Source organism: Homo sapiens, chromosome 1 (genome assembly GCF_000001405.40).
Source record: "Homo sapiens chromosome 1, GRCh38.p14 Primary Assembly".
Classification (NCBI taxonomy): Eukaryota; Metazoa; Chordata; class Mammalia; order Primates; family Hominidae; genus Homo; species Homo sapiens.
In genome coordinates this window covers 44,142,310-44,154,553 of record NC_000001.11, presented here as the reverse complement: position 1 = coordinate 44,154,553, position 12,244 = coordinate 44,142,310, and the positions used below count along the sequence as shown (strand labels likewise).

The window sequence follows — 12,244 nt, the reverse complement described above, 5'->3', positions numbered from 1 at the left end:
TAAAACAGGAACTGGTCCTGCTTTTAACTTTATGGAGTCTTATTTATGAATAAAGCTCAAATTATTAAAATATATATTCAGATTAAAATTCATTTGAACAGTCTATGGCTATTATGAATTTTATTTACTTCTCTTCCCCGAATTTTAATTTCTTTGAAGGCTTCCAGGTAAACAGTGATTACTAATTATTTCAATGTTGTATGAGTCCAAGATCCTTAAGTCAGTTCATTTTGGATAACATAATCAAATTATCATTAAAGAATGATGCAATCACTGTTAATCTTAAGAATCTGACAGTGAAATATGACCCCTTAAAACTATTCAGGTGGGCGGGGCCCAGTGGCTCAGGCCTATAATCCCATTACTTTGAGAGGCAGAGACCGGTACATAGCTTGAGGCCAAGAATATTAGGTGACATAGCAAGACCATGTCTCTAAAAACTAAACAAATAAAAATGTTCCCCAGTTAGTGCAGATGGAATAGCTGCACAGATTCACATAAGTTTCAGTTTTGTCTCAGATTTACAAGAACAGAATTTATAAAACATTGGTTATTTAAATTAGGATTCAACTTAATTGTATATCCATGTTTACATTTAGGATTCTTTAAAATAGTGTAAATAGTAATAAACTATAAGACTCATAAGCAATTCTAAATAATTTAGGTGATTAATTTGGCCTTTTTATTTAAACAAAATCCAGTCTTGGATCTGTTAAAATGATATATTGCATGTTTATTTCTCACAGTGGTAAAATCATGGACTCATACCATGGACCATTTTTTAAACTCCTCACTCTCCAGGGGACGTTGGTGAAAAATTTTCTTATAGAACCCTGGGCCAGGAGGGGTGGCCTTGGGCGGGACTGTTTGTTCTAAAAATTGGTAAAGCCCAGGGCTTGTTGGTGATGGATGAGCCAGAAGTGATGAGGACCCAACAGAGACTTAGAGTGGAGTCGGAATGAAGTCAGAAGTCACTTGCGTGACTCCAAGTGTGTGTCGGGTCCTGCTAGGGTAGAATAGTCTCTGGACCTGGGGACAGGGAGGAAATGGACATCAAAAAATACCATTATCATGGCTGGCCCAATGGTAGTGGGTTATCAGAACTTATCAACATTAGTGTTGCTAAAGTTGGTATACAACCCCCCACTGCGAAATTTGGCTGGCTTTTAAAAAAATGCCATTATGGGTAGACACTTTGATCTTTATTGGCAGGGTCAGTATGGCCCCTGGGTCCATGTGGTGTAAAAGTAGGAGTATCTCCACTCATAGGTGGGAATTGAACAATGAGAACACTTGGACACAGGATGGGGAACATCACACACCGAGGCCTGTGGTGGGGTGGGGAGTGGGGAGGGATAGCATTAGGAGATATACCCAATGTAAATGACGAATTAATGGGTGCAGCACACCAACACGGCACATGTATACATATGCCATATGTATACAACATGGCACATGTATACATGTATACATATGTAACAAACCTGCACGTTGTGCACATGCACCCTAGAACTTCTTAAAGTATAATTTTAAAAAAGAATCAAAAAATAATTAATTAATTTTTTAAAAAAAGTAGGAGTATCTCTAAAATCTATTGCTACTAGTGGAATTGCCCAATAGGGCTGCTTCCTTGTGCAAACTTGGAAACTGTGTCATCTTCATCCTGGAGAAGGCAGGGTGGCCCCAGGGCTCATCTTGAGCTCTAGGATGGTACTTCAGCCCTAGCATTAACATTGGAGTGCTGTGTCATTTCCCCAATAGTAGGTTATATGATCCCCTACTGAAGCAAGAAGACAAACTGGATGGTGGAGCAAGAAGTCAAAAAGAAATCTATCCAGAAGCCTGAAAACATGATTAGCAGATGGAGAGGCAACAAGACTTAGGAGGCAGGCTGGGCATGGTGGCTCATGCCTGTAATCCCAACACTTTAGAAGGCGGAAACAAGAGGAGCGCATAAGCCCAGGAGGTCAAAACTAGCCTTGGCAACATAGTGAGACCTCCAGCTCTACAAAAAAATTTAAAAATTAGCCAGATGTGGTGGAGTGTGCCAGTAGCCCCAGCTACTCTGGGGACTGAAGTGAGACGATTGCTTGAGCCCCTGAGGTCCAGGCTGCAGTGAGCCAAGATCAAGCCGCTGCACTCCACCACAGAGCAAGACCCTGTCTCAAAAAAAATAAAAACAAAAAAAAGAAAAGTGGAAAGCTCCCTCCTCTGATCTCAGACCTTATTTCTTTTAAGGAAATATACTTTTGAAGTTTTGAGTTTGAAACACAGTTTGGACTTAATCACGAGGGATGTTGTGTAGGAAAGAATCATTCATTTAATTAATTTGGAACCCCTCCACCACAGTTTACTCCTTATGATATTAACCTCCTTTAAGCATACATCAGTGTGAAAATGTCTTCAGTTTAAAAAGGCATTTTACTTCTGATGGGGTAAAAAAGTTTGTACCCTATCTGAGACCAGAGCATTCATAATGAAGAGAAACTATGAAGTTACCAAATGTGGGGAAACTTACTCACATGCCATCTCATGGAATATAGAAGTCACACTGAAGAGAAACCCTGTGCCTCTAAGGAATACTGAAAAGCCTTTAGCTAGATTACCAATCTCATAAAGCAGCAGAAAATTCATGCTGGAGAGAAGCCAGTGAAAGCAGCAAAAACGTCATTGAATTAATATTCAATTTATACTGCAGAGGAAGCTTTGAATGTACTACATATGAGAACATTTTCTCTCACACCTTATTCCTTACTCTGCATTTGAAAGGTCTTACACAGATAAACCTTATAAATGTAAGAAATGTGGAAATATCTTCAGCCAAAAGTAAATCCTTGCTCAAAAAAAAAAATATATACACTGGAGAGAAACCTCGTGAATGCAGGAAAGCTTTTGTTTAGATATCCCTCTCAGTCAGCAGAGGGTTTATGTGGGGAAAGCCCCTCTGCCTGCATGGTATGTGAGAAAGTCTTCAGCCGCGTGTCAGTTTCACCGAGCATGAGCATTTTCACACTAGAGAGAAACCCTTTGAATGTAATGAATGTGGAAAAGCCTTTACTAAAAGCAGTATGTCATTAACCATCTGAACGCTCATAACCACAGAGAAGCTTTGTGAATATAACAAATGTGGAAAATCCTTTTGCCAGAAGGAAAGTCTCCCTACCAGTCAGAAAATTCGCACTGAAGAGAGACCTTTTGAGAGTAAAGACTGTGGGAAAGTTCTCATTCAGAAGTCAAACTTCATCCAGTACCAGAGAATGCACACAGAAGAGAAACCCTTTGTGTATAAGGAGTGTGGAAAAACCTTTAGTGGAAAATCAAACCTTACTGAGCAAGAGAAATTTCATATTGGAGAGAAACCCTTTAAATGTAGTGAATGTGGAACAGCTATTGGCCAGAAGAAGAAGTACCTCATAAGAAACCATACTGGAGAGAAATCCTATGAGTGTAAGGAATGTGGAAACATCTTCTGTCAGCAAATACCACTTATTGTAGATGTGAGATTTCAGATGATCAACCCTATGAACTCACTGTGGAAAAGCCTTGTCTCAGTTCATTGCTTACTGTGTGTGTGAGCAGCCCCGCAGGTGAGCAGCCCTATGGTTTCCATGGCTGTGGGGAAGCTTTCTCCCAATTCTCAACTCTTGCTCTGTATGTAAGAATACACACAGGTAGGAAGCTTTATCAGTATGGTGAATGTGGGAAGCTTTCAGCCAGAAGTCACACCACATCAGACTCCAGAAAAGTCATACTCGTTTAAAAACTCCAGCAGGACATGACGGCTCACGCCTGTAATCCCAACACCGTTAAAGGCTGAGGCAGGAGGATCACTTGAGCCCAGGAGTTCGAGACAAGCCTGGGTAACACAGGGAGACTCCGCCTCTACAAAAAAAATTAATAAAAACCTTGAAAATGGGAGTGCTTTTATCAGGAATGTACACCTCATAATGCATCAGAAATAATCATTTTGCAGCAAAGCACCACAAATAAGGTAAATTTTAACAGATACTTTATGTATGTAACTTGTGGGACATCAGAAAATTCAATGTCCTTCTGAAGAGAAGGGTATTCATATGATAAAAAGCCTGAGTCTGGCCAGGTGCAGTGACTCATGCCTATAATCCCAGCACTTTGGGAGGCTGAGGCAGGCAGATCACCTGAGGTCAGGAGTACAAGATCAGCCTGGCCAAAATGGCGAGCCCTGTCTCTACCAAAAATACAAAAATTAGCTGGGTGTGGTAGCGGGTGCCTGTAATCCCAGCTGCTTGGGAGGCTGAGGCAGGAGAATCACAAGAACCCGTGAGACAGAGGTTGCAGTGAGCCAAGATGGCACCACTGCACTCTAGCCTAGGCGACAGAGACTCCATCTCAAAAACAAAATAAAACAAAACAAAAAAAGCCTGGGTCCAACAAAGAAACCCACAGCAAAGGCAATGCTGAAACTTTAGACACATTTCCACTAAAATTGGGAACAGAAAACAGATGCCTGTTAGCATTGCTGTCAGCATTGATCTGGAGATCTTCACCAGTGCAGTAAGTTGTAAGCATTGGAAAGGAAGACACAAAATTAGATATGATCATCTATAAATACATAAGACTCTTGTGGTGTTGACTGAACAGAGCAGAACAGATTTCAGAAAGAGACCTATGCATTATTTGAATTTGGAATACGATAGAAGTGAATCAGGATAGGAGGAAATATGGGACGATTTTTAAAAATGGTTTGGAGGTAATCTGTTCTCCAAGTAGGGAAAAATAGACCATGAACCATACACAAAAGTAAAATCCACAGAGATGAAAAGCAGGCATTGAAAAAGCTATGTATTAAAATTATATGACTTTGGGAGTAGGGAAACATTCCTTGTAACAACTTCAGAAATACTTAGCAATTCTACTTTTGAATGTGTATGCTCAGGAAATATGTACTAGGATATTTACTATGGTTTGATTTGTAGTAGCCAAAAATTGGAAACATCAAAAAGAAGAAATCCTTATGATGGAATAATATATGTCTGTAAGTGCAACACCTGAGATTCACATGTATTAACAGGAAGATCTCAGAATCATGTTGAGGGGGGTAATATCAAGTTGCAGAATGATGCATATAGTACAATGACTTTCTGTAAATGTGTTGCTGTTTTGTGTTATTTATTTGTTTAATTAATTAATTATTTTTGAGACAGGATTTCACTTTGTCGCCCAGGCTGGAGTGCTGTGGCGTGATCTCGGCTCGCTGCAACCTCCACCTCCCAGGTTCAAGCGATTCTCCCACCTCAGCCTCCTGAGTAGCTGGGACTACAGGTGCGTGCCACCACGCCCAGCTAATTTTTTGTGTATTTTTTGGTACAGACAGTGTTTCATCATGTTGGCCAGGCTGGTCTCCAACTCCTGGCCTCAAGTGATTCACCCGCCTCGGCCTCCCAAAGGGCTGGGATTACAGGCGTGAGCCACTGCACTCGACCTAATTTTTAATTTATTTTTAAATAGAGACGGGGTCTTGCTACATTACCCAGGCTGGTCTGGAACTCCTGGACTCAAGCAATTCTCCCATCTCAGCCTCTCAAAGGGTGAGGTAATAGGCATGAGCCACCATGTTCAGCCACTTTTTGTAAATTTGAATTAAAATTTCCCTCACAAAATTCAGTACTATACACATACTATACATGTATGTACGTAAATGTTTCTGAAATGGTTTGGAAGAATATAGCCCAATACTTGCTAGTGGTCACCTGTAAAGAGTGAAGAAGGGAAGAGAGTGAGTGTGAGACTTCAGCTTTGTATCTAAACATCTTTTCTTTAAAAAGACTGCAAGTAGTGAGCCGAGATCATGCCACTGCACTCCAGCCTGGGCGACAGAGCGAGACTCCGTGTCAAAAAAAAAAAAAAGACTACAAGTAAATAGAGGAAGATACTGATTAATTCTGTACTGTGGTATATGGATCTCTAGTCTTATTTTTTATACTTTTCCATGTTTTTAAAATTTCTCAGAATTGGTAGGAATGAGGGTGAGGATGGGAACTCTGTACCTGTAGAAATCATGCTGTAATATTCATTCCCGGCCAGGCGCAGTGGCTCACACATGTAATTCCAGCACTTTGAGAGGCCAAGGCTGGTGGATTGCCTGAGCTCAGGAGTTCGAGACCAGCTTGGGCAACACAGTGAAACCCTGTCTCTACTAAAATATAAAAAGTTAGCCGGGCGTGGCAGCGTAAGCCTGTAATCCCAGCTACTCGGCAGGCTGAGGCAGGAGAATCACTTAAGCCTGGGAAGCTGAGGTTGCAGTGAGCTGAGATCGTACCACTGCACTCCAGCCTGGGCGACAGAGCGAGACTCCATCTCAAAACAAAACAAAACAAAACAAAACAAAAATTCATTCCCAATCAAATACTAAATTTGTATAGCAAATATTTCTAAAATTTTATCAACAATGAGTGGATGAACGTGCTATGTATGTAAAATGAAATTATCTGGTTTTTTTTTTTTTACATTCAAAATGAAGGCCGGGCATGGTGGCTCATGCCTGTAATCTTTGCACTTTAGGAGGCTGAGGTGGGAGGACCGCTCGAGTCCAGGAGTTTGAAAGCAGCCTGGGCAACATGATGAGACTCCGTCTCTACAAAGAATTTAAAAATTAGCCACAGTGAGCCATGATTGCACCACTACACTCCAGCTTGAGGAACAGAGTAAGACGCTGTCTCAAAAATAAATAGGTGGCAAAAAAATTAAAAATAGTAAGTAAAAACCACAGCCAAAAAGAAAGAGAGAGAGAAAGAAAAAGAAAGAAAGAGGAAGGAAGGAAGGAAGGAAAAAAGGAAAGAAGGAAGAAAGAAAGAGAAAAAAGTACCACGATCATTTCTAGGGTAACCTGATGGAATTATCAAGATAATTATGCAAGATAAAATAAATAAATAAATAATAAATAAGTAAATAAGTCAAAACCACAGGAAAAAAAAGCCATTAAGTTTCCAGGGTAAACTGATGGAATTATCAGGATTTCACAGTAGAAGTAATTTGATTAAGTTTACAGCTGCCAAAGAGGTGGAGTCTGCATAAGTGAACAGCTGATTGAATCTGATGCCTCTAGTGTGTTTAAGGACTCAGATCATAAGAGCAAAACCGTTTGAGTTCAAATCTACTATCAGTGTTTGATTCTGTGACCTGCAAATACTTAATATCTCTGAGTCTCAGTTTTCGCTTTACATGATAACAATGATAAAATCCACCTCCTAATACTGGTGAGGGTAAAATTCGCTAATTAATGCCAATTGCTTCCCTGCACAATGAGAACAGGGGAAGTGATTGCATTAATGTCCAGAGGCCTCTGGTAGGTAACTCAATCACTCTGCCTATACAGGCGGTAGGTAGGTCGCTGGGGCTCCGCCCCGAGGGGTGTGGCCGACCAAAGACGCAAAGCAGTGACCTGGGTGCATCCGAGCCAGGCTGTATAAAAGCCCAGGCCCCAGAAGGCGCCCAGAAGTTTCAGAGTGTGTTCCTCTCCGTCTGCAAGTAGCAAAGTGCCCGGCCTGCCATATGGATCAATTTCTGGTAAGTCTATCTCCAAATGAAAGGGCGAAGGTCGGTGTCATGGAGTGGTAGGTCAGAAATTCAAAGATGTAGGCGTCCAGAATCCTAGCAAGGGAGCCCGCTAATAGGGGAGGACAGAGAAGTGTCTGAAACGGTTCATTTATTGAGGACCATTTTTACTTCCACGAGCCTGCCCTCCGCAGGGCATGCCTTTCATCAGACAGACCCTTTCATCAGACAGACGCGGGGCCTGCAGAGAAGGCTGTGGTTGTGATCCTGGGGGTCTCTCGATGGCACCCGAAGGTCTTTCTATCATGTTGGCAGGAGCCCAGGACGAGATCGTGGTCTGGTCGAAGTCTCATGGAAGTATACAAGGAACGCTAGGCCCATGAGTCAGAGGGGCCTGGGTGGGTTGGGTTGAATTATTAGAGATCAAGAGAAGGAGGCATAGCCCGTGGTTGGAACTATCAGGGTTTATTGTTTGTTTTGGTTTGGTTTGGATTTTTTGTTTGTTTGTTTGTTTGTTTTTTTGACAGAGTCTTGCTCTGTCGCCCAGGCTGGAGTGCATTGGCACGATCTCCACACACTGCAACCTCCGCCTCCCAGGTTCAGGCAATTCTCATGCCTCAGCCTCCCAAGTAGCTGGGACTACAGATGTGCACTACCATTCCTGACTATTTTTTTTTTCTTTTTTGGAATTTTAGTAGAGGCAGAGTTTCACTATTTTGGCCAGGCTGGTCTCAAACTCCTGACCTCAAGTGATCTGCCTGCCTTGGCCTCCCAAAGTGCTAGGATTACAGACCTGAGCCATTGCACCCAGCCGGGACTATCGTTTTAATAATTCCTTAAACTGGGGTTGAAATCCTTCTGTTTTTCCAAGGGCCAGAAACTTTAGGGACCAGAAGCAGACCTAGAGCAGGTGGAGTGGGAATCAGTCCCTCACTGGGTTCCTGTTTTCTAAGGTTCCCAGTGGGATCCATCAGGCCTTGCTCAGAACGAAATAGAGTTCTGTCTGCTCAGAGGAGCTTCTAGTCCAGTGGTGGGGAGAGGGGGTAGACAGGAGTTAAGCTTTTACATGAGTAGAAATGGTGGGAAACTAAGTGTAAGAGTAAGATGCTATTAGAGATTGATTTTTAAAGTTTAATTTTATGTATTTATTTTTTAGAGAGGAGGGGGTTCTTGCTATGTTGCCCAAGCTGGCTTCAAACTGCTGGGCTCAAGGGAACCTCGTCCCACAGCCTCTGAGTACCTAGAGCTAGAGGTGCTGTGATAGCTAGAGATTGATTTTAATCTCAGAGGACATCATTTCAAAGATTTCCTGTTTGGAATTTTTTTTTTGAATTTTTCTCAGTTATTTGTATGATCTTCAAATATATGTAATATAAAATTACCATCTTAGTCATTTTTAAGTTTACAGATCAGTGGTGGTATTTAGATACAGTCATAGTATTATGCAACCATCACCACCATCCATCTCCAGAACTCTTTCATCTTATAAAAGTGAAACTGTACCAGTTAAACAGTTAACTCCTCATTCCCCCTCCCCCTTTTCCCCCCAACCATCTGTCTGTCTCTGATTTTGATTACTCTTAGGTACTTCATATAAGTGGAATCACATGACTTTTTATGTGAGTCACTTTTTTGTGGCTGGATTATTTCACTTAGCATAATGTCCTCAAAGTTCATCCATGTTGTAGCATGTGTCAGACTATCCTTCCATTTTAAGGCTGGATATTCAGTTATATATTCCATTGTTTGTATATACATTTGACCCTTGAACAACACAGGTTTGAACTGCATAGGTCCACTTATAACTATATTTTCTTCAATAAATATATTGAAAATAGATTTTCATATGTTGAACCATCCTTGCATTCTGGGAGTAAATCCCATTTGGTCTTGTTGTATAATCCTTGTAATATGCTGATGAATTGGGTTTACCAGTACTTTTTTGGGATTTTTGCATCAATGTTCTTAAGGGATATGAGTCCGTAGTTTTCTTTTCTTGTAGCATCACATCTGGCTTTGACATTGGGTATATGCTGGGCTCGTAGAGTAAGTTAGGAAGTATTCTCTCCTCTTCAATATTTTGTAGAAGTTTGAAGGATTGATATTAGTTCTTTAAAATTTGGTAGAATTGACCAGTGAAACTATCAGGTCCACAGCTTTTTTTTCGTTAGGAGATAATGATTACTGATTCAGTCTCATTAGTTATAGGTCTCTTCAGATTTTCTTTCTTCCTGATTCAGTCTTGATAGGTTTTGTGTTTCTATGAATTTCTTCATTTTATCTAGGTTATCCAATTTGTTGGTGTACAAACTGTCCATAGTCCTGTCTTAAAATCCTTTCTATTGGTGTAGAAGTAGTAGTAATGTCCCCACTTTTCTTTCTGATTTTAGTAATTTGAGTCTCTTTTTCTTAGTCCATCTAGCTTAAAGGTTTGTCAATTTTGCTGATCTTTTCAAAGATCGATTTTTTGTTTCATTAATTTTTCTGTATTTTTTAAAATTTCCATTTCATTTATCTCTGCTCTATTCTTTTTTGTTTTGTTTTTTTACAGGTGGGGTCTTGCTTTGTCACCCAGGCTGGAGTGCAGTGGCACAATAACAGCTCACTGTAGCCTCCGACTCCTGGGCTCACGTGATCCTCCTGCCTCATCATTCCAAGTAGCTGGGACTACAGGTATGTGCCACCACACTCAGCTAATTAAAAAAAAAAAAAATTTGTAGGAGCTGGATCTCACTATATTGCCCAGGTTAGTCTAGAACTCCTGGGTGAAGGGATCCTCCCACCTTGGCCTTCCAACATGCTGGGATGACAGGCCTGACCCACTGTGCCTGGCCTGTTCTAATCTTTATCATTTTCTTCCTTCTGCAAACTTTAAGTTTAGTTCTTTTTCTAGTTCCGTAAATTGTAAAGTTAGGTTACTGATTTGAGCTATTTCTTGTTTTTTTAAATGTAAGTGTTTATAGCTTCTATTCTAGCATTGCTTTTACTACATCCCATAAATTTTGGTCTATTGTGTTTTTGTGTTCATTATAACTTCTCTTGTGATTTCTTCTTTGATCCATTGTTTGCTTAAGAGTATATTCTTTCATTTCCACAAATTTGTGAACTTTCCAGTTTTACTTCTTTTTTTTTTTTTTGAGATGGCATCTCACTCGGTCGCCCAGGCTGGAGTCCACCTCCCAGGTTCAAGCGATTCTCCTGCCTCAGCCTCCCGAGTAGCTGGGATTACAGGTGCTCACCACCAAGCCCAGCTAATTTTTGTAATTTTAGTAGGGACAGGGTTTCCCATCTTGGCCAGGCTGGTCTTGAACTCCTGGCCTCATGATCCACCCACCTCGGCCTCCCAAAGTGCTGGGATTACAGGTGTGAGTCACCATGCGCAGCCTTCCAGTTTTACTTCTATTATGGATTTCTATTATGGATTTAGAGGTGGATGTGGTGGCAAGCACCTGTAGTCCCACGTACTAGGGAGTCTGAGACAGGAAGATCGCTTGAGCCCAGTAGTTCAAATCCAGCCGGGGTAACTTGGAGAGAATCCATCTCTGAAAATAAAAATAAAAAGAATTCCTAGGTTTTGAGAGCTCCTCTTGGTAGGGTGTCACCACAAGAAGTGGCATCAGCCCAGACCTCCAAGTGAAAGTGGCTTCTGCTTCCACTGTGGCTTCAATTATCTCCCTTCTTTTAAGGGTACCTCCTTCTAGTTCTTGGGAAATTCCACTTATTTCCAATCATAAATAGATATATGTTATATATGTATATTCTTTGGGTTTTAAAATTTTTCTTTAAATATATGTAATATATGTACATATATTATATATATATATATATTTCTATATATTTAAAGCCATCTATCATTTCTATGATTTGGTATAGAAGGGAAGGACTTCAGGGTCTCCTCAGTCCACCATATTCAATGACAGTCCTGTCACACATTTTGAATACAGCCTGGGGGAATTATGGTATTTCTCTATTCTGAGAGTCAGGACAAGGCAGGAGGGACCAGACTTTGATGGCAGAGATGGGAAAGGAGAACGTATTAGATAAGATAATTTGGCTGGATAAGGCAGACTGAGCAATGGATTGGATAGGAACATGGCAAAACTGAGTAGACTGATCTGGCTAGAGTAGGACAAAAGCAGGGAAGAGGCACAGGGGATGAAAAAGATGTGAGGCTACCCAGATGGTGGCTTTGGGGAGCTCATTATAAACTTGACACTTTTCTTGCAGATCATATGGGGCAGAGAAAAAAGAGAAAATAATAAATAAATAAATAAATAAGTACATACATACATACATACATACACTTGATACCAGAGACAAAGGAAGCCTAGAAGCATATGGATGGCCACTTTGAACAGAAATATAAACCTTGTCCATATGCACAGTTACGCCTCTGTCTCCAAAGAAACTGCTTCTTGGAATGTATCTTAGTCTGTTCTGTCCAGGAGCTGGTAGATTCGGTGTCTGGTAAGGGCATACTTTCTGATTCATAGATGGCACCTTTTAGCTGTGTCCTCACTTGGTAGAAGTAAAGAACTCTGACCCTCAGCCCCTTAGAAGAACACTCATCTCATTCTTGAAGGTTCTGTCTCCATGACCTAATCATCTCCCAAAGGCGCTACCTTCTAATACAATCACACTGGAAATTCAGTTTTAGCATATGAAATTTGGAGAAACACAAACATTCAGTCCATAGTAGAATGGTTCCTAG

The 12,244-nt window shown here is 40.9% G+C and overlaps 1 pseudogene, besides 2 other annotated features; it reads left to right on the top strand.

Moving 5' to 3' along the window:
- The first annotated feature begins 2,708 nt into the window (after window positions 1-2,708).
- LOC100419796 (zinc finger protein 146 pseudogene) lies at window positions 2,709-3,768 on the top strand (annotated as a pseudogene).
- Window positions 2,884-2,963: an enhancer, noted in NCBI's record as "active region_936". NCBI's record gives its function as "activates an Ori minimal core promoter by ATAC-STARR-seq in GM12878 lymphoblastoid cells {active_cell/tissue: GM12878}" and the evidence as "EXISTENCE:reporter gene assay evidence [ECO:0000049][PMID:35858748]".
- Window positions 2,974-3,053: an enhancer, noted in NCBI's record as "active region_935". NCBI's record gives its function as "activates an Ori minimal core promoter by ATAC-STARR-seq in GM12878 lymphoblastoid cells {active_cell/tissue: GM12878}" and the evidence as "EXISTENCE:reporter gene assay evidence [ECO:0000049][PMID:35858748]".